Genomic DNA, 23,159 nt, shown 5'->3' with positions numbered 1-23,159 from the left:
ACCGTCTGTGATCCAGCACTTGGCATCACTAACAGAGGACATAAAATGTGTCAGAAATCCCCATAATGTCTACAAGTAGAGTATCCATTTTTATTTAATATAGTTAAAACAAAAGAAAATGGCAATAACTATCTCCTTTACATAAAATAATCTGTTTTAATAGAAATTTCAAATGTTAAGTATATGACTATATTATCAATGTCTAAATGTTTTTATTCTCCTTGATAAACACAGTAGTAGAAATGACCGAATCAATAAAGTTGGACCTAAACATCATTTTTCTACTCCTTTGTTAGAATAAATGTTCAGAATATTACTGGAAAACAGCCTCCAAAATAGTTACGTTTATATGTCAGTAGTCTTTTGAAGAATTCAAAGGGCAACAAATTTTCACATTATGAACATGGATACTCACAGCATTCTTCAGATGTATGTGTCAAATAGATATTAGCTGTGCATTATGAAAAGTGAAATGGATAGAAAAAGGCAAAGATTAGAAAAGAGACACCTGGCCAGGCGCAGTGGCGCATGCCTGTAATCCCAGCTACTCGAGAGGCTGAGGCAACAGAATCGCTTGAACCTGGGAGGCAGAGGTTGCAGTGAGCTGAGATTGCGCCACTGCACTCCGCCTGGGTGACAGAGTGAAACTGTCTCCAGAAAAAAAAAAAAAAAGAGAAGAGAGAAAAGAGACATCTAACTATTGCTTCATTATATATTCTCAGTGGCTGAATTAAAACAATAAATATACCTTAAAACTGATTTTTTGGACTCTCATTCATTTTAATAAAATTTGAATTTTTGATTAAGGAAATCCTATCCAAATCTGGTCACAAAATGACATTCAATAGCTGGACCCTTCTGTGAAAAATGAACATAATGGGGAAAAAAAATAAATAAACTACCTGAACCAATTTTATTTTTGGAGTAATTTTTAAATGTAATGTTAAAACTACTACCACCCACTACTAGGATGCAATATGGCTAAAATGCTAAAAGAAAGAATTAAAGTAAGAGTATATAAATATATTATCTATAAAATTGGCCCATATGCTCAAATTACTCTAAGCAGAATGTGAAATTTTACATTTTTATATTTAAAAATCTTGGCTAGAATATATCTTTGGTGGTACTAATAGACTTTGAAACTCTAAGCTTTTAAGAACAGCGCGGTGAAGTGGCACAGACTTTGAGGCAGACTATGTTTGCACCCTGGTTCCAAAACTTACTAACTGTGTGAAATTGGATTTATTACTTAATCTCTCTGTGTCCCAGAATCCTTCTCTCTAAAATGTGAATAATAATAGTACCTTTCTCACAGTGTAGGGAGATTAAATGAGATAACATATTTAAGGCACTTAGAAAAGGGGCTTGCAAATATGCTCATTATTATTAATTACTGTTATTACTGTATTGTCATTAACACAACATTATTATGATTACTGCTATTATTTATTCTTGGACACTCGAAAAACTTACCGTACATATGGAAGATTATCAAAAGAATTTAACGTAGTTTAAAGTGCCTTATTTATAAATTCTGACATGCAGAATTTCATCAGATGAGAAATGTTCAGAGTTCAGAGTTAAGAAAAAACAAAATGAGTAATTGCAAAGAGAGTGTCTTTCACAATAAAAAGTATCAATTATCTCCATCAAAACAAGAAACATTAAGGTCTGTATTCCGGAAGCCTAGCAATAAACCTGAGCAAGAATGCTCTCCTCAGAAAGGCAAACTCACCCCTTGTTCATCCAGTTTCATGAGCTGCTCTGTGACCTTGGGTGTGTTGAAGGCCAACCGCAGGCACTGGACATTGAGCTCAGGAACCACGTGCTCCAGCACTTCTTTGAGAGGCAGGCCTCTGGCTGTCGAGTGCTTGGCTGTCGACGGAATGGCGTCCTCCAGGACCGAACCTCTCAGTGTCATGAGCTGCAAGAGAGACAGGTGCTGTGGTGAGGCTTCTGGGATGTGAGATGCCTGAACACATGTACATGCACTGCAGGCCTGAACTGTGGGGCTCCTCACAGAGCTAGGGAATGATTTTTGATGGGTAAAGCCAGTGAGGGAGAAAGAATGAGAAAAGTGATGTAGGATACTGTAATATGAAAAATGAAACCAATGCTTTCAAGACCAGGGTGGGTCCAAAGGAGCACATAATCAAGACTTCTGAGGATATTTATTTAAAGACAAAAAATAACATTTCCTTAAAGAGATCAGTAAAGATCAAGGTCTCTATATGGCTATACCATGTCACTATGCATACTAATTAGGAAATTAAGAAGGCAGAACCCCAGAGCAATGTCTGAAGAATAAATACTTAGAATTTGGATGTTATACTTCTTTGAATTATAAAAAGGGGGAGATAAAGTTTTAAGCTTCATAAGGCATGGCTGACAAGCATAAACTATTCATATTACCAAATGCTGCTGCCACCGGACAATTATCACCATCAGTACAGCAGCACAGGCAATAGCAGCTGAAATTACTTTAGATTTTCTCTTATTTCTTAAAATACCTTCCCTTCTTAAAATACCCTCCATTAATACCTTAAGCAAAGACATTTTCCTACGTAATGATGTTGTTTTCAGAGAAAAGTTAACCAGACATGAAGCCTAAAGTAGTCTTAATTTCCAAAAATGTCTACAAGGCAAAGTTTTGTTAACCTAATTTAACTGCTGCATGGGGAAAGAAGAGAAAACCCATCAAACTGAATACATTTCCATTTAGCAACAGGAGCTACAAAAGCTAGGAGTGCAAGTTGAGGATTGTCAAATATGAGGGTGAGAGGTCAGAAAGACACACTGCAATCTCAGAAGGACAAGTATACCCAACAAAGTATAACAAGGTCAGGACCTCAGACAGTCCAAAGGCAGAGAATGGACCACAGTGGCTCAGGGCATAAAGAAAGGCCCCACTGAAAGGAGGGGTTTTAGGAAATGGCCATGAAATAGAGGAACAATTTCTACAAAAAGAAAATGTCAAGAGACAACATGAGCAAAGGTATGGAGATTGGGAAAAAAGGGAGTAAGTGGGAAGGAGTGATTATTGTAGATGGACACAAGGAGAGTACAGGGAGAAATGGATGAGGCAGCTGTGAGCTGGGGGTGCACAGAAGACCCTGAAGCTGACTGAGTGGTACACGCCTCACTGGGCTCCTACAGGTCAGCACAGGACGTGTTCGTAGGGGGACGATGTATACTCAGAAATTAAGCTGCAAATAAGATGAACTGTGAGAGGAAGCAACTGGAGGCAGAGAATGTAGTTAGAATGAGTACCTTTTTTCTTTCATTATAAACAATTTCTTTTCAAATAACAAGTAAAAATCATTTTCCTATTAATGTATAATTTGACACAAATAGTTTTTATTTTGTTTTTAAATCATGGAAAATCGTTAACTCAGTTATTTGACTGTTTTCTTCATGAGATAATACATAGCTTGAAATAGGGAGCCACAAAGGCTAGGGGTGTTCTCAACTTAGAAGCCAAGACCAAATTCAAGCCATTGCATCCTGAGCCATAGAAAGCAGCTAACTCATGAAAGCCAAAGCAGATGAGAAAAAGAATGGCTCATTTTTTACATCCGAATCACTAGTATTACTGATATTTTTCTTAATGACTTCCAGAAATAAGAATGGAGTCCTCATAAGTCCTCGTGTTCCTATGCTTAAAAACACTCACATGCCATAAAATTTTGCTCATAAACAAACTGCCATGCCTACAAAGGTATATATCTTCTTTTATGTTTTGCAATGTTTATTTATACTAAAATGAAAGAGATTTGTTTGTATTTCTGTTATCTTGCTGCCGCTTACTGAAGCCACTAGAGTGTCACTGTCATGTTTTCTTTTTTCTTATCTGCATGAGAAATTAGTAACATGAGAAGTCCCTGATACAAATTAAGTCTTGTTTCATTTGTAATAGGTAAATGGGCTTCAGTGAAAAAAGTGAAGGAACTATCTCTCAAAGTGCAGGAGCTACAGACAGGAACCAATATCTGGAAACATTTCTATCAAAAGTCTTAATACAATATTACCATTAAATCAAATTTATGGATTATTTATTATTAGAGAGAAAAAAATTATACAAAACCTAGTGGCAATTAATTACATAAATATTAGCGGGAGGAAGGAAGAAAGGAAGAGAGGAAAAGGAGGAAAGACATGGAGAAAGGGATGGAAGGAGACAGGCAAGGAGGGGAAGTGAGAAACAGGGAGGCAAGGCACCATTTGAGGAATCGGGCACGTTGTACTGAACAACTCGGACAGAAGCCCCCACCCTCCTGGGGCCTGCATTCTAGTGGGAGAGATTAAAAGCAAACAAAATGACTAAGTATAACAGAGAAGACAGTGTTAAGTATTAATGAAAAATAAAGCACTGAATTGGATATGAAATGGGAGGGGAATAGAAATTTTAGATTCAGCGGTCAAGGAAGGCCTCTGTGGTTTCTGAGTAAAGGCCAAATGGAGATGAGGCAGCCTGATGCAGAACACAGCAGTGGGGAGGAATGACGGGCATCTGAGCCCTGAGGCAGAGGTGTCCTGAGGTGGCCCAGGTAGGAAGGAGGCCAGTGTGGCAGGAAAAGACTGAGCCAGGAGGAGTTATCAGGGATGAGGCGCAGAGAGATAACCGGGAAACAGAAGAGCATGGTCTCCTAGGCTAGCAAAGACAGTGGCTGTTTCTCAGAGGGAGATGAGGAAGCTTTCAAGGATTTCGAACTGAGCAATGGCAAGATCTGGAATGACATTTCAAAGGAACCCTGTTGGGTCAAAAGGAGGCAGGGCTTCAGCATAGAAGCAGGGAGAACAGTTCTCAGAGCAAGACCAGGACCAGGACTGGGTAGTGAGGGTGGGAGAAGTAGTTGAGCTCTGGGCATATTGTGAAGACAAAATGAACAAGTGTTGCTGACAGACCAGATCTCAGGGGCAGGAGGGAGAAGATGGGAATAAAGTGTGGCTTTAATGGTTTCTGGCCTGAGAAAATACAGTAATAGAGTTGTCATAAAGTGAACATTAATTTGAACGTAAAAAACAAGTGGTAATGGTTTTTTTGAACACTTGACTTGAACCTTTCAGTCAAAGGCTAAGGAAACAGACCCAAGGGACACAGCTTATTCAAATGGCTTAGCTGGAGAAGAAGAGAATCTTATGACTACAGAATTCAAGTAGAACATTTCGGGTCAAGGGAGTAAAGCAGAAAGAAAAGAGGTGGGAAAGGTAAGAGTTGGTGTGGTTCACAGACCAGAGCAGAATTTAGGACAGATAGGTAGGAGACAGGGGCTGGGATCAGATGTGGAGAGCCTGCAAGACATGCTGAGAAGGGAAGCTCGTGGAAACCAGTGACAGGATCTGCTGAGAAGGGAAGCTCATGGAAACCAGTGACAGGATCTGACTCAGAAAGAATCATAGGAAACTTTAACCTCTGGCATGAAGGATAGGATGAACAAGTGATAAGGAAATGAATTTAGGTGGACAAAAAAACAACACAGAAAAGGAAGAATATGATGGGTATTTAAATCAGAGTGGCCTTGGGAAGGGAAAAAGAAGAGAATGCGAAAGACAAAAATACTTGGAAGTAAGATAAGAGAGTATCACTAAAAACTGGTAGGAACGGCCAGGTGTGGTGGCTCACGCCTGTAATCCCAGCACTTTGGGAGGCCGAGGCGGGTGGATCACCTGAGGTCGGGAGTTCGAGACCAGCCAGACCAACATGGAGAAACCTCGTCTCTACTAAAAATACAAAATTAGCTGGGCATGGTGGCGCATGCCTGTAATCCCAGCTACTCGGGAGGCTGAGGCAGGAGAATCACTTGAACCCAGGAGACAAAGGTTGCGGTGAGCCAAGATCGCGCCATTGCACTCTAGCCTGGGTAACGAGTGAAACTCTGTCTCAAAAACAAACAAACAAACAAACTAAACTGTTAGGATCTGGGAAGCTAGAGAGGAGCAACTACCTGCATACAAGTCCAAAACACAGAACATGACGTTCTTCGTGCCTTTGTGCTCAAAAAAATAATTTACACCACTTAATGATTAGCTTTGCCATGGAGAAAAAGCACATGAGAGTATGTTAGTTCATTTCTCTCTGGCCAGTGTAGACAACACATTAGATATTTAAGTCTTGTCTTTAAAAGTCCTATATTTAATTTCCCCGGAGTTCAGGCTTAGGAACTATTACTAAATGATGCCAACCCCGGAAACTTGCTTTGCATTCAATGGGGGAAATGAAGCCAAATGCCCTATTTAAACTAGTTTCAAAACCATTATTTTCTAGATGACTCAAGGGTATTAAGTATTAATGCATAACAAAAATCCTAAAGTGAATTAGCAACTGAGAGGCAATAAATCGATAAGTGGCCCAATTATACAAGTTTACAAAGAAAAAGGAGAACCTCATAGTCCCAAACTTGTTCATAGGTGTTTTAAAAAAAAAATGCTGTGTGGGTTCTTTTTATTTTTCCATGTCTTTTTTTTTTAGCCCAAACTTCATTTTAAAATAAAAAACTCATACATTGTGTATATTTAGATTCCTAAAGAGCTCTAACAGCCTGTTTCACTTACAATTAGATAGCCCCTGGTTCAAAGAATGTACCTTCTAGGTCTCAGACAATGGGTCCCAAAGATAGTGGAAGAAGTCAAGAATCTCTTTCCCTCCTTCTTCTTGGGCGAAGACATGAGCTCAGCAAGAGCTTGGAAGAGTGAATTAAGTCTTCAGTGGCCTTCTCTTATATCTAATATCCTGGCTCCTCAAGTTGGCTTGGCGCTTTCCAGTAGCCCTAAGCAGGATACACAATATCCCAGTGGGGATCTGAGGGCTCCAATTTCCTTGGGCCACACTTAATGGACATATCTTTCTCTGAATCAAAACTCCTCATTCATAGACTGCATCTATTCAGAGTCTGATGAAAAGAAGAGGTCCAGATCTAACCATCTTGTCCACCTCGATCTCCACCAGAATAAATGAAAGGGGACTTTGCTTACTCCAAAGACAGCTGTAACCATGTGCTATTAAATTTAATTGCTTTGCTACTGCTACTATTTGCTTTCTTCCCCATTTCAGTTAAACCTCAAACCTCTCTCATTTGCGACTTACCTCACTAGTTCTAAAAATTATTCGGTAGTTGTACGGAGATCCATTTTCTTTCATTTCATCTGGTTTTTCCCTTCGAATGCTCACAGCCACTGGACCAAGATTCTCATCAGCCCCAAAATAGTTCCAGTGTTCTTAGGTAAAATAAGACAAAACAAAGTTAGAAAATCTACCTAACACTTTGAAAATGTTACATTCTGCTCAGTATTTAAGGTTGTCACTCAGAAATTTTATCAATAAAATGTAAACATTTAACAAATATTAATATTCTTCAGTTAGTTATAAAAACAAAGACTTGGCTACACAGGTTTAGTTCCAGAGAAGATAACACTGAACACGGGTGGCCTGTTGAGTTTTTTACTACTCTACAGATTACTACTCTACTATTTCTCAAAATAAATTTGTATTTTCTCCCTATCTCCCACCATTTAAATAGGCTACATTTGTGCACACTTCCTTGCCTAAGAGAAGGCTTGTGCCAGGGCTTTTTAGTTTTTGTTTTTCAAAAACATTCTAAACATATTGAGAACAGAGTTTGAAGAAAGGGGGATTCCACCAGATTAAAAAAGATGTCCCTGGATTGGAGAGAGAGATGTGTGCTGCGAGTCTCTGGGCAGCACTCTGCTCCCAGGTGGCCTGTGTATGGTGGAGTAGGAGCTCAGAGGAAAGAGCTTCACAGTGCCCCAGGGAGGCAGGACCCAGGGCTCTGGGCCATAGCACGGTATCCCACAGTGCAGGGCTAATGTAACTTGTGTGTCCAGGTGACCGATGAGCCTAGGGCCTCTCTTCAATGTTCTGGCCTTTTGCCTAAGGCCCCAAACCTTAGCACAAGCCTCCAAAGGACTGGCGCTGAATTTACCTTTCTCTTGCAAAAAGAAAGATAGGGATCAAAATTAAGTTAATTTATAGAAAATGTTGAAAAGTGATATTTACTGTGCATATACATCTTTTAAAAATTTAAACTGTTGATACATACATGAGATGTTCACAGATGAGGAAGTCCACAAAACATGAAAATATATGAAAAACTGGAACAGATAATTTGTTTTTCAAACCTCCAAAATGCTTACTTTACATTACTGTATTTCATTTATACATTATTGTATTTCATTTATATCTGACACGGCTAAATGACTGGATTGTGACATAATATCTCATTATCACACAAAATGCATACACATTTGAAAATACATGTTATTTCCATACAAAATATAAGTATTTGAAAATCCATGAGAATAATAAGAAAAAATAGCATAAATATCGAATCATGTAGTTTAAAATTTAAGTAATGCATATGAAAATACTTTGCAGGTACTAAAGCACAATTACAAAAGCTACAATCATAAATGTTGAGGGCTCTCTAAGACTATTATCATAAGCCATGGAAATTCAAAAGAAGAAAAACACAATGGGAATACAAGCAACAAACATCTCATATATAAGAAATAACCCACTAAATGTCACAAAATTCATGTACAGACACTTATGCATATCCTCAAAGCACAGCACATGAGAAACACACTCAGATTATTTACTCTTACTTTGCACACAATTCTAATAAGCTTGGTTGTCTGGTCTTCAAGCTCACAGCTTTATTTCAGAGGTGTGATAATTCCAGGTGTTGACAAAGTCCAGGGTGTAGGGCTGATACAGACTTGCATGCAGACAGCAATGTGATAGAACAACTGACAACAAGGAAGAAAACAGAAAGGGAGGAGACAGAAATAGTACAAAAAGGCAGACAAGAACTTAAAGAGAAACAAGACAGCAGTCTGGGGCCATTTACTGAAGGAGCAAAGAGCTTAACATGCTTTGATACCCTCAGAGGATATTGTACCGCTGCAGCACAGATCAACAGTAGATGCATCAGAGTGTGAGTCACACTCATTACCTGGTCCTCGTACTTCATGGACTCTAATAAAAACCAACTTCTAGGAACCCCTCAAGTACACCCCACATATCTCACAATGGGCAGGTGGCATGGCAGTTCTCTGCTGCTGGAGAAATTCCCAGATATAGGGCCACTATAAATTCATCACCAATAACCTCAATTCATCCTCATCCTCAAGCTTTCCCTGGTCAGCAACTCTCTCCGTTTCTCCAGGGCAGATGTGGCAAACATGCTCTATTCTCTGGTAACCACTCCTCATCTACCTTCTCCTCAATTTTGGCAAATGACAATGTGTCTACAACACAAAGGAAATAAAGAAGCCATTTCAGATGCAAACCTAATCACCATCCACACAAATTCACCAGCATCCACACTCTAGCTTCTTTTTCTGTATGATCCAAAGCCCCACCCCCACCCATTTGCCCATTCCTCCTTCCTAGGGACTCAGGTACCTTGATGACCCTCTTTTTTTATCTTCAACTTCTCCCTCTAGACTTGCTAATTCCCATCATCCTTTAATTACCGTAAACTCACATTTATTCTCAACTCCTTACGACCTGTCAGAACTAAAGAATTATCTCCTCTTTCCTTTCTTCCATTGGAAACTTCTTGAAATAGCTGTCCAATTCCTCACTTCAGAATTATCATCTGACTTCCACTGCATGGGTCACCAATGACTTTCTCAAAGTTAAAACAAATGGTACTTTTGGTCCTTCCCTGGCTCAAACTCTCCATAACATCTAGCATAGATGATCACTTCATGTCTTCTAGAAACACTCTTACTTCCTTGTTCCTATGACATCACCCTCTTCTGATTTTCCTTCTACCGCTCTGGCTGTTCTAGCTCAGTTTTCCTCCCTCTTCCCATCTGAATAATCCACCTGCTTTCAGAACTTCAACTGCCACCTCAATGTTGACGACTCTCAGAGGTCTACATGTCCTCTCCAGACATCTCTAAGCCTGAGACCTTTTTTTGGTTTTGTTGTTGTTTATGTGTTTGTTTTGAGACAGAGTCTCACTCTGTCACCTACACTGGAGTGCAGTGGTGTGATCTTGGCTCACTGCAACCTCTGCCTCCTGGGTTCAAGCGATTCTCTTGCCTCAGCCTTCAGAGTAGCTGGGATTACAGGTGTGCACCATCATGCCCGGCTAATTTTTTATATTTTTTGTAGAGATGGTTGGTCAGGCTGGTCTCGAACTCCTGACCTCAAGTGATCTGCCCGCCTTGGCCTCCCAAAGTGCTGGGATTACAGGCCTGAGCCACTGTGCCGGGCCAAAGCCTGAGCTCTTTATATTTACCTAATGGAACCGTTTGTCCCACGCACATCTGCAAAAGTGAACCTATCACCTTCCCACAGAAACCTATATAGCTCCCCGTCCAGTCCCTATTTCAGCAACTGCTACCACATTCACCCAGTTGCTCATGCCAGGCCCACTGCCATACTCTGTGAATTCCAGCTTCTGGACATCTCTCAAATCCATCTTTTCTCATCCGACTGCCACTGATTTATCCTATCATCACTTGCCTGAGTGTTTGTAGTAGTCTTCTAACTGGTTTGTTTTTATCCAACTTAATTCACCCTGCCAGATGACCCTTCTAAAATGCAAATCTGACCAACTACTACGAAACTTAAAACACTTAGGTTCTTGTACCCTTTTCATGGTTACCCAAAGGTTCTCATAACCTGTCACTGTCAATCACTCCAGCCTCAGCTCACACCTTTCACCCTCTTAAATTTTGAAAACCAATGATACTAAACTTCTCTTTCAGGTGCTCAAACTCACAGTCTTTTATCATCTGAAAAAAATCTGCTGAGAACATTCTTTCCATAACCCCTCTTTATTTGTCTAAGTCCTCTAATTTTTAGGTCTCATCCGAAGTATGACATAGACATCTTTGAAAAGAGGGACTGAATACTGGAAGAAAATAAAAGTGTTTACTTTGGATATTGATACCAATAACTTTATTTTAAAGTGTTATGAATTCATAACAACACAAATTATTAAAACCAAATATTTAATATATCTCAAGAACAAAAATAGAAACATTACAAAAATGTAAATAAAATATAAATTTATAAACTAAAAATATTAAACAATCATTTTAGTATTACTGGTAGACAAAATACAAATTGTGTTAATAAGGTTACTTTGTTAATAATAAAAACTGTAAAATTAATGATAATTCAAACTTTTGGTGTGTCATTATCAAAACCTGACTACATTTTTTTGTAACTTTTCCCAGCTGCTAATGAAGTATATTTCTGAATTTGGGGAATGGTGATGGGATAATTATAAACTAAATTCCAACACTTTCTTCATACTCTAGCTTTAAACAAACTCATCTCTGGTTAGATAACGCTAGGAAGATATTTTTGAACTTGTGTCAAGTTTTTTCATTAAAAAAGAGCTCTTGCTATTATTTCCCAAATAGCTTTTCCAGCCAGTCTTCATCAGTATCGGTTCCATTGGTATGGATGGAGACTCCGGTCCAATTTCCCATGCTAAATTCACCACTATCATCACCAGACTCTACTTTTTCAAAAAGTCTTTGAACTTGAAAAAAAATTATTTTTACAATAAAAGCTCTGTTTTGGTCCACTGTCTTTTTTTTCTCTTAAGGATTACAGAAGTATAGAAAAAACTCTTTCCATATGAACATAAGTTTATTCTATTCAAAATCCTAATGTACTATTTAAATTTAACCCTCTGGTACAGGAGCATTTCATTCAGCAAATCACCATGCATCACAATTTTCAGGTTTTTGTTTTTTTTTTTTTTGGAGACAGCGTCTTGCTCTGTGGCCCAGACTGGAGTGCCGTGGCATGATCTTGGCCCACTGCAACCTCCGCCTCCTGGGTTAAAAGGAGTTCAATTGTTCAAGCAATTCTCCTGCCTCAGCCTCCTGAGTAGCTGGGACTACAGGCACGTGCCACCACGCCTAGCTAATTTTTCTATTTTTTTTAGTAGAGGTTTCACCACATTGGCCAGGCTGGTCTCAAACTCCTGACCTCAGGTGATCTTCCCACCTCAGCTTCCCAAAGTGCTAGGATAACAGACATGAGCCACCACACATGCCTACAATTTTGAGATCTAAGCTAGAAGATACTGGACTGCAGTCTCCTCCTTCCTTCAGGCCCCTAGTCCCCGGGCAGTATGTCTACACTTGCTCTGTGATGTAGCACTTTAAATTTGTTTTCCTATCAGCCATCGACTTCCATTGTTTGCTAGTGAAGATATCCATAATTACAAAGTGTTCTTCTAGTCAAATCCACAACTGTCTTTCTCTTTCTTCTGAAGTGAAAAGTTTAGCAGGGAAGGGGAGTAAGGATGAGGGAGTTACAGATGAAGTGTGTCAAAGAAAGGCAAGGAAGACTTCGATGAGCAAATTCAGGATGAGAAAAGTCAGGGGAAGGGAAGAGGAATTGGAAACTCAAGTAGAGTGGATAAAGCTTCTGATGGATGAACTGAAATACAGGTATTAAACCACCAGAAATTAGAATATTTTAGAGCCAGCATACCGGGATGCCAAAAACCAATACAGCAATCACCATATTAGAATGATATAATGCAGCAAAGCAAAGCATTTTGCCAAGTACTCTAATAATCATATCAACCAAAAAAAAAAAAAGGTACTTCCTTCTTTTTTATACATGTGGCAACTTTGATTTAAAGAAGATAAGTCACTTAGTCAGAAGTAGTATATAGCAGTACCAGATTTAAACATATTAACTGCTGATTTAATGTTAATTAATCAGCTCATTTACTTAGCCATTACACACAATATTATGTTCCCATAAGTTTCTAAAATTTTATTATGAATAAAAAAATCATTAAATAAAACTTGGTTCCTAAAGGAATAAACTATTTATCTAGTCAGACGAGACATAATGCTTTATTTCTTGATGTGCTGTTTAGCTAAGGTTTTGTTGAAAGGGGGAGAGATTAACATTATATCCATATACGGTTGACTTCCTTCCACCTACTCCATTCCTCACATTTAAATGTTTAGTGTGAAGTTTTCTTATTAGTTCTGGTTCTTGAGTTTTAACCAGGATGGTACAAAGAGTAACAATAAATAATTATGTCATCATTAAAATATTCCAGGTAAATAGTTTTATTTTTGGTTGATACTTTCACAATAATGATTATAATAAAAATTTCACATTCTTAGTGAGGGGAAACAGCGAATAGTTCAAAGCTCAAAGTAATTAGATCAGGTACAGTCCAATCACCTGATTATAAGATATATAAGCATGTGTGTACAAGGCAAAGAAAGTTAAGCTTGGTGTTTTACTTGTGAAGGGGAAAGGAAACTACAATTACAAGAGTTACAGGGCTTTAACTATCAATTTTTTGTCACTTGCACTGGTTATCATGGTATCTGCAGGCTATGTATTAATATTTCAGTTGCATACTTCCCTGAGGACATCTATAGCATAATCTGAACTGAATGTAATTATGAACAGTAAAAATATAGTTTTACAAGTAATCTGTAAAGTTATAATTTATTGCTTGAAACATGTTTACAATAGTTAATTTAAATTGTTTAATAGAAAAAATAGACATCATAAACATGAATCAAAGAAACACAAAGCAAATAAAACTTAGCTACTATCTCATGCCTAACCCAATATAAAAAACAATGTTTCTGAAATAAAAAACCAGCCCTTGGTAGAGACGTAATATATTCATATATTGCTGGTGGCACTGTGGATTGGTATCAACTGCTTTTGAAAGCAACACGGCAAGATATGTTAAAGTCACAAAAATGTTCACATCCAAATCTTAGAATTACCCTAATTGATCATACAGAAAGAAAAATAAAATCTTTTCCATTTTTCCCAAGAAAAAAACACCATAAGTCAATGTATAATGGGGATGCTAAATATACAAGTAATAAGCAGACAGACTTGGGCTTCATCATATATCAGCAGGTCAAAGAATGGAACAGTGACACTTCAATAGCTTAAATTAAAATTATTTCACCATTTTTAACATTTAAACTATTTTTTTTTAAATAGTCGACTTGGTTGGTTACATGTGTGCCACCATCAGTACAGTTAACAACATAAAATTTCACCCTCAATGTTTTCATCAGTTTAATATTTTCATTAGACATACACATGCACACATATGTTTATTGCAGCAGTATTTACAATAGCAAAGACTTGGAACCAACCCAAATGCCCATCACTGATAGACTGGATAAAGAAAATGTGGCACATATAAACCATGGAATACTATGTAGTCATAAAAAAGAGTGAGTCATGTCCTTTGCAGGGACATGGATGAAGCTGGAAGCCATCATTCTCAGCAAACTAACACAGTAACAGAAAACCAAACATCGCATGTTCTTACTCATAAGTGGGAGGTGAACAATGAGAACATGGACACAGGGAGGGGAATATCACGCACTGGGGCCTGTCAGGGGGTGGGGGTCAAGGGGAGGATTAGGACAAATATCTAATGCATATGGGGCTTAAAACCTAGATGACAGGTTGATAGATGCAGCAAACCACCATGGCACATGTACACCTATGTAACAAACCTGCACGTCCTGCACATGTATCCTAGAACATAACATAACATTAAATTAAATTAAATTAAATTAAAATAACAACTAGGAAAAAAACTCACTGTTCAAATTTTTCAGGTTTTGTTTTTGTCCAACTTCTTACATCTTAATCTGACTAATGACTAAGAAAGAGAGGACAGAGCTAAAGGATTGGAGAATTCAATGTTAAAAATAAAGAAATTTATTATCTTGTTAAAAGGAAACACAGGTCTGCCAAAGTGGACATAATAAGAGGCCAACTGTTTAAAGAATGGCTCTCCTGGGAAGTGCACCACTCAGATTCTCAGTTTCTGGTCCTCAAAGGGCTCATCCTAATTTTAAGGGTGGAGGTTCCATGAGAACTAAACAGCCTAGGACTTCGCACCATAATCAAAAGCAGGTCAGAGTAATGGATGGGGACATTTAAACAGGACTGGCCACATGCCAGAATTCTGTCCCAAAGCATGGCACTAAGCTTATAATTACTGTTGCCTAAGAGTAATTGCTCACATTTACAAACTGCATAGTACTCTGACATTCCATTTCTTCTTCCCATAGGTAACACTTAAAAAGTGGGGTGATGTATTTGCCAAGATTACATGGAATTTGGGGGTTTAAAACAGTATCTAAAGTAGCACCTAATAGGCCTCTAATTTTTCAGTAAAAGGCAAACTTTAGTATGAAGTTATGTTGATATTAATAAATTGCATCTAAATGATTAAAGAAAAAAATACAAAGAAAACCCTATTTAAAACAAAAGGACATACATTCCAACTTTTCTGTACATAAAAAAATTATTTTTAAATAAAGAGAGGATGAAGATTAGCAGAATCATGAGAGATTTTTTATTGGTTGCTATCAGTCTATGACAAATGGCCAATAGTTATATTTTTAAAAACTGAAACTCACTAGTGATCAAAGAAACAAAATGTCTTTTGTTGGTCTTTAATAAATGTTCAAAAATATAAACTGTAAATATTCATAGTAGTTAAGAGAATGTTAAACTACAAGTCTTAAACACACCAGTGGATCTTTCTGGTCTAAGCTTTCTTAAGAGCAATTTGGCAATAAAAATCAAGGCTCACATTTCATTTACAGGGCTCCACCTTATGGAAATAATTAGATATGTGGAAAAAACTTATATTACAAGGCTGTGGCTAGGAACAGAAATTAGGGGGTCTATAAACTTGACTGAAAAAAATGCATCTTTATTTTTACTAACTTCTAACTGAAATTTAGTGTTTTCATCAATTATAAATGCAGACAACAAACAATATTAGTTGTACATGTGACTTTGACACCAATAGAAATCACAGTTTAATATTACATTAAAGTTGTTGCAGACATATCAGAATATTAACTACACTCACCCCTACTTTGAAATGATGGTAATTAACAGAGCTGCTGCCAGGTCTTTTTTTCATGAAATAAGAAAGAAGCACGTCCATTACTATATCTCAAAATTTTAACACTTCTGCAACTGTGCTTCAATATATGCTTGGTTTGCTTTGTATTTTTACTCCATGCACTTTAAAATATTATTCTGGCAGGGCAGGGTGGGGTGGGGGGCGCAGGGGAAGTGGCTTACTAATCAAGGTCAAGGTAGGAGGACTGCTTGAGCCTAGGAGTTCAAGACCAGCCTGAGCAACAGTGAGACACCATCACTACAAAGAATTGGCCAGGCGCGGTGGCTCATGCCTGTAATCCGAACACTTTGGGAGGCCGAGGTGGATGGATTGCTTGAGGTCAGGAGTTGCAGACCATCCTGGCCAACATGGTGAAACCCCTTCTCCACTAAAAATTCAAAAACTAGCTGGGCATGGTGGTGTGCACCTGTAATCCCAGCTACTTGAGAGGCTGAGGCAGGAGAATCACTTGAACCCAGGAGGCGGAGGTGGCAGTGAGCTGAGATCACCCCACTGCACTCCAGCCTGGGCAACAGAGCAAGACTCCATCTCAATAAATAAATAAATAAATAAATAAATAAATAAATAAATAAATAAAATATTAGCTGGGCACAGTGGTGCACACCTGTAGTCCCAGTCATTTGGGAGGATGAGGTGTGATGAGCACTTGAACCCAGGAGATCAAGGTGGCAGTGAGCTGTGATTATGCCACTACACTCCAGCCTGGGTGACAGAGCAAGACCCAGTCTCAAATAGGTAAATAAATAAAAATTTATTCCAAGGAGAGTTCGTAGGCTTCACTAAACTGTTATTGGGATCAATGGGGCAACAACAACAAAAAATTAAGACCAGCTAATGTAAGCATTATTTATTATAACAAGAATTGGAAAAAACAGCTGAAAAACTTTAAATAAGAGATGGCATGGCCCAATATAGAAGCAGGACAAAAATATACAACTGTATTTAAGACTCCTTATTTATTTTAAAAAGGAGTATGCATGTATTAAGACTGATGGGGCAGAAATAAAATCAATAGCATTCCCAAAAATTTATTTTCTATAGTTTCTATTTTTTCTATAATGATATACATATATAACTTTTATAATTGGAAGTTTTTTGTTTGTTTTTGTTTTGTTTTGTTTTTTGAGACAGAGTCTCGCTTTGTCACCCAGGCTGGAATGCAGTGGCACGATGGCTCACTGCAACCTCCAACTCCCAGGTTCAAGCAATTCCTCTGCTTCAGCCTCCTAAGTAGCTGGGATTACAGGCATGCACCACCACGCCCGGCTTACCTCTGTATTTTTAGTAGAGACGGGGTTTCACCACGTTGGTCAGGCTGGTCTCGAACCCCTGACCTCGTGATCTGCCTGCCTCGGCCTCCCAAAGTGCTGGGACTACAGACATGAGCCACCGTGCCTGGCCAGAAGATTTCTTTTTTTTAAGTATAAAAAATGCATTTGGTTTGCAAATGGTCAATGACTATAAAGAGTATGTTTAAAAGTTGCATATTAATGCAACTTTTTATTTTTAATGTTAATACCAATTCAAACATTAGCTTAGGAAAAAAAATTAACATCTAAATGAAAGAAATTACAATGAAACACTTGTATGTAAATGAATTTCCTTATATTTAAAGCACCCTTCATACCTCCTTACCAGGGATATTGCAGCAAGATGTCTTCCTATGGAAAAGGCTATTGAAGGATTTAGGGGGAAGTCTCTAACAGGTAGCCAGAAATTCAGTTAAGGCAGAAGTCACTACCGCTAACAAGGACAGGGACCATGCAGTGTCCCAAACACTTAGCAAAATCTACCTCTTTGTTGACTAAATGTTCACATGAGTCCTAGAGATGGCTTCTGCTCATGCTTCTCTCAGACTTGACTTGAATGCAAATAGGAAGATGTCTCCTCTCATTGCCTTGATGCTCACATTAATGGGCTCACCATACAGAGGAGGGAGCTCCATTAGAAGACTGGAAAAGGAATTGATGCAATAAAGCAAAATTTTTTTTGAGCACCTAATTTCAGGGCTCAGAATGAGGGTCTCACTGAAGATATAATGAGGTATACATTTGGGAAATAGGTGGCAAGTTTGATTATGTGTGTCATCAACTTGTACTGAAAGAACAGATCTAAAAGGCCCTTTGTTTCGAGAATGCCAAACAAAGAGCACAGAAACTCACTGGAATATGGAAATCAGCAAGCAAGGTAGTTACTTTGATCTTTTTATGTGGATGGTGTTGGGGCACAGATAACAATACCCCAAAGTATGGTGCTTTTGCATGCTGGGCACTTTTTAATTAAAGAAACTGAAAAGTCTTAGAAGCTGTCTCAGAACCAAGGACCTTCTAAATCTTCTCTAGTTTCTCCCCTGAAAGCAAAGGGAGGGACTCTGGAATTTCCTTATCTGACTGAGGAAACTTCTTACCAAAAGAAGTGGCACTGTCTTAAAACTCCCTCCCTAGGAATCACATCAGATAACCAGGAAAGATTAACCACTTGAAATCACAGGCCAATTTTCTGTAGTGATGGTGTCTCACTATGTTGCTCAGGCTGGTCTTGAACTCCTGGGCTCAAGCAGTTCTCCCACCTTGCCTCCAAAAGCATTGGTATTAGTAAGCCACTGCCCCCTGGCCAGAGTAATGTTTTAAAGTGCATGGAATAAAAATACAAAGCAAAACACCAAGCATATTGAAACACAGTTGCAAAAACGTTAAAAGAGAAAACACTAATAGTCACCACACCATGCAGGCTTTTCATCTATTATGCCGAGGGCAGTCCCTGGAAATTACCTGGGCAAGTTTATCTGCAAATTAAAACCACCATTGTTCATAGTGAAGTTCTGCCCCTCACCTTCCTGTCACCTCCCCCTGGAACTCGGAGAAGCTTTGTTCCAGGACATTATCTATTCTTTGGGCTCATTCATTCCCCCTGAAAATCATTTACTACCCTCACAATTGCCTACATCCCCCAATTCCCTCTACACTATGAAGGAGGTGCTATTTAAGCTTCAATCATCTAGCCAATCTTTTGGTGTCACATCTTCTATGGTTCCTGTGTTTATGCATGTATATGACTGTATATGAAGGTTTTTATTTGTTTTTATTTTTTTCTTCTGCCTGAAAAAAATAAAAAGTTTTAACTTTTTATCTGGACTCCTTTTAGACTCAGAGAAAAGTTACAAAAATAGTACAGGTTATTTCCGTATTGCTCACCCAGACTCCCCCAGTGCTAACATCTTACATAACGACATACAGTACAATAATCATTGTCAAAACCAGGAAATTGAACCTGCTTGGTTGGGACCGGTTGGGAGCGTGGAGAGACTCCCTAGTGCAGGGTAAGTGAGAGATCCCCCACGAGCCACATTTCCATTGTGGACTCACTCCTGTAATCCTAGCTATGGAAGAGCCCCATGACCCTTGCAGGCCCTGAAACAAACATAAGGAGATGCCTGGAAACCGTGCCAGGGCAGTGCTCAGGACGAAGCCCACAATTGGTCCAACATACCCTCCTGAGTCCTACGCAGCTACAGCATGCATAATGACACCATTTTGACAGCCTAGTCCCAAAAAGACTGCACCCTGCCCTAGGGATCAACAGCACTTGCATCTCCACATTCCTGGAACCCCACCAACATCCCCTATATGCAGCCACTGCCACAGCAAACTGCTACCACCAGGGCTGAAGCATGGGCCACCTGGCAGCAAACCCCCTTCCTCCAGCAGAGGAAGATCACCCATTTTCACATGCCCAGACAGACTTCACGGCCTGCAGGTGCCTTTGTTGTGGGCTGCCATCACCGCGGCTGAAGCACAAGGGAAGGGCATGTTTTCCACCCGTCTGCATGTGGCTGCTGCTACTGAAAGCAATCCCGCCACCCCCAGGAGCACAGCCACAGAGCAGCCACTGCCATCCCCACCTGAGCAATCTTCCAGGGGTCTGGGGATAACTCAGCCCCTGCCCACCATAGCCAGTGTTTCATGTGCCATCAAGGAGGCAGAGGTCAAGCTTTCTCGGCCCACCATAGCCATGGCCAACACCAGTGCACACCACTTAGAACTCAGAGGGTCATCCCACTACTGTTACTGCTATCACCCCTATCATGCCTGCTTCCCAGGGCCCAGGACTCCAACAACTGTACAGCCCACTGCCAACATTACTGGTATCCAAGCAAGCTACCTGTAGCCCCAGAATTAACCTGCCAGGACCTGCTGGCACAAGTGCTGGTGTTTGCTGCCCTGAGGCCCAGACACACACAGACTCAGTCCAACACTGCTACCACTGGACTCGACGATTGGCCCACCTCCTAGGCACCAGCAAAAGTTCAGCAGAGCCTCCATTAACAACTGTACCCTAAGTTATTGAGGAAATCACAGACACAACTTATGCTGTTTACAGACAAAGACATTATACAGAGACTATACTACTACATGCACCCAGAATCAAAGTCAAAATGCCCTACCCAATCAGCACTACAGATACATTTTCAGAAAAAGTCCGTCCCCATGAAAGTAAACTCAAAAAACTTCAAGAAGCAACTGTTACATCAGATGTGTACATAGTAATGTAAGGACATAGAAACCATGAAAAAACTAAGAAATATGACATCTTAAAAGGAATAGAATTAAGTCTCCAGCAACAGATCCCAAACAAAAAGAAATATACAAAATCCTAGAAAAAGAATTCAAAATGTTGATTAATGAAGCTCAGTGAAATACAACCAAATACTGAAAAACAACACAAATATATCAGAATATGAATGAGAAATTTACCAAAGAGATAGAAATTATAAAAAGAAACAAACAGAAATATTAGAAGTGAGGAATTCATTGAATGAAATACAAAATACATTTGAAAGCAACAACAATAGACTAGATTAAGCAGAAAAAAAAGAACCTCAGTACTTGACGACAGATCTTTTGAAATAACATAGTCAGTCAAAAATTGCAAAAAAAGAATAAAAAAATGCAAAGCTTATGTGACATGAGACATTATAAAGCAATCAAATATTCAAATTTTCAGAGTCCCAGAAGGTGAAAAGAAAATCAAAGGGTTAGAAAATATATTTAATGAAATAATAAGATAAAAACATTCCAAGTCTAGCAAGAGATTTAGATATCCAGATACAGGAAGCTTACAGATCCCCAAACAGAAACAATAAAAAAGGGTCTTCTCCACAGCACATTTTGGTCAAACCATCAAAAGCCAAAGACAAAAATAGCAAGAGAAAAGTGTGTAGTCACTTATAAAGGGACCCCCATCAGACTAACAGTGGATTCTAAGCAGAAAACTTATAAGCCAGTAGAGAATGGGAAGATATATTAGAAGTGCTGGGGAAAAAAAAGAAAAAAAATAAATAAATAAACCTGTCAGCCAAGGCTACTATACTCAGCAGTTATCCTTCATAAATGAAGGAAAAAGAGTCTTTCCAAGACAAGCAAAAGCTGAGATAACTCATCTTTTTTTAGTGTTAAATTCAGTGCTAAAAAAAAATGCTTAAGTGAGTCCTAGCCCTGGAAGTGAAAGAATGATAACTACTACCAACATGAAAACACACAAAAATGTTACCACTCCAGAAATCCACCAAACTTGGCCAGGTGCAGTGGCTCCCACCTGTAATCCCAGCACTCTGGGAGGTTGAGGCAGAAAGAATGCTTGAACCTAGTAGTTTGAGACCAGCTTGGGCAACATAGTGAGACTTCATCCCTAGAAACAAATTTTTAAAAAAATTAGCTAAGGCCAGGTGCAGTTGCTCAAACCTATATTGTTCTAGCACTGTGGGAGGCTGGAGCAGATGGCTTGAGCTCAGGAGTTCAAGACCAGCCAGGGCAACATGGTGAAACCTCATCTCTATAAAAAAATATAAAAGTGAGCCAGGCGTGGTGGCATGTGCCCATAGTCCCAGCTACTCAGGGGGCTGAGGCAGGAGGATCACTTGAGCCTGGGAGGCAAGAGGTTGCAGTTAGCTGAGATCAGGCCTCTACACTCTAGTCTGGTTGAGAGAGCAAAACTTTGTCTCAAAAAAAAAAAAATTTATATATATATAAATATATATAAATATATCTATATATAAATATATATAAATATATATAGATATATAAATATATATATATTTATATATATCTTGCTCTTGCTCTGTTGCCCAGGCTAGAGTGCAGTGGTGCAATCTCGGCTCACCGCAACCTCCACCTCCCAGGTTCAAGTGATTCTCCTGCCTCAGCCTCCTGAGTAGCTGGGATTACACGCACGTGCCTGGCTGATTTTTTTGTATTTTTAGCAGAGATGGGGTCTCACCATCTTGGCCAGGCTGGTCTCGAACTCCTGACCTCGTGATCCACCCGCCTCGGCCTCCCAAAGTGCTGGGATTACAGGCGTGGGCCACTATGCCCGGCTATATTTCTTTTTAATTAGTAAGGCATGGTGGCACATGCCTGTAGTCCTAGATATTCAGGAGGCTGAGGTGGGAGGATCACTTAAAGCCTGGGAGTTCAAGGCTGCAGTAGGCCATGATCACACCACTGTACTCTGGCCTAAATAACAGAGTAAGCATCTGTCTCAAAAGAAAGAAAAAAAAAGAAAACCACCAAATCACAGTGGTAAATAACATGAGAAAGAAACCGATATATAAAATAACTAGAAATCAATTAATAAAGTGACAGAAATATGTCCCCCCTATAAATAATAACCTTGAATGTAAATAGATTACATTTTCCACAGAAAAGATATAGATCGGCTGATTTGAAAAAAAATATATATATGATCCAACTATATAATATCCACAAGAAACTCATCTTACCTCTGAAGAAACATACAAACTACAGTAATAGGATAAAAAAGGTATTCCATGGAAATGGAAACCAAAAGTGAGCAGGAATAGGTAGACTTAGATAAAACAGACTTTAAGTCAAACAAAGTAAGAGACAATGAAGGCCATTATATAAGATAGATCAACTCAGCAAAAAGATGTAACAATTCTAAACATATCTGCACTCACCACCAGAGCACCCAGATACATAAACAAAACATTATTAGATTTAAAGAGAAAGACTCCAATACTATTATAGTTAGAGCAGTGGTCCCCAACCTTTTTGGCACCAGGAACAGGTTTCATGGAAGACAATTTTTCCATGGATGGTGGGGACAGGGGACAGGCATTAGATTCTAATAAGGAGGGCACAACCTAGATCCCTCGCATGTGCAGTTCACAGTAGGGTTCAT

The 23,159-nt window shown here is 39.0% G+C and overlaps 1 protein-coding gene across 58 annotated transcripts in view, besides 1 other annotated feature; it reads right to left on the bottom strand.

Moving 5' to 3' along the window:
- The window catches only part of SIPA1L1 (signal induced proliferation associated 1 like 1), a 420,734-nt gene that overhangs the window by 115,235 nt on the left and 282,340 nt on the right, over positions 1–23,159 (bottom strand). For all 58 annotated transcript variants that reach the window (XM_047431217.1, XM_047431229.1, XM_047431218.1 and 55 more), the window contains 2 exons: positions 7,088–7,218; positions 1,739–1,927 (listed from right to left, as the gene is read on the bottom strand). In XM_047431217.1, coding sequence (XP_047287173.1) covers positions 1,739–1,927; positions 7,088–7,218 — 320 coding nt within the window. The remainder of the gene's footprint in view (positions 1–1,738; positions 1,928–7,087; positions 7,219–23,159) is intronic.
- Positions 19,756–20,513: an enhancer, noted in NCBI's record as "H3K27ac-H3K4me1 hESC enhancer chr14:72072179-72072936 (GRCh37/hg19 assembly coordinates)". NCBI's record gives its function as "activates a minimal SCP1, AML or CMV promoter by ChIP-STARR-seq in primed H9 embryonic stem cells {active_cell/tissue: H9 hESC(primed)}" and the evidence as "EXISTENCE:reporter gene assay evidence [ECO:0000049][PMID:30033119]".

Source organism: Homo sapiens, chromosome 14 (genome assembly GCF_000001405.40).
Source record: "Homo sapiens chromosome 14, GRCh38.p14 Primary Assembly".
Lineage (NCBI taxonomy): Eukaryota > Metazoa > Chordata > Mammalia > Primates > Hominidae > Homo > Homo sapiens.
The sequence above is the reverse complement of the archived record's forward strand: the minus strand, read 5'-3'. Positions and strand labels throughout refer to the sequence as shown.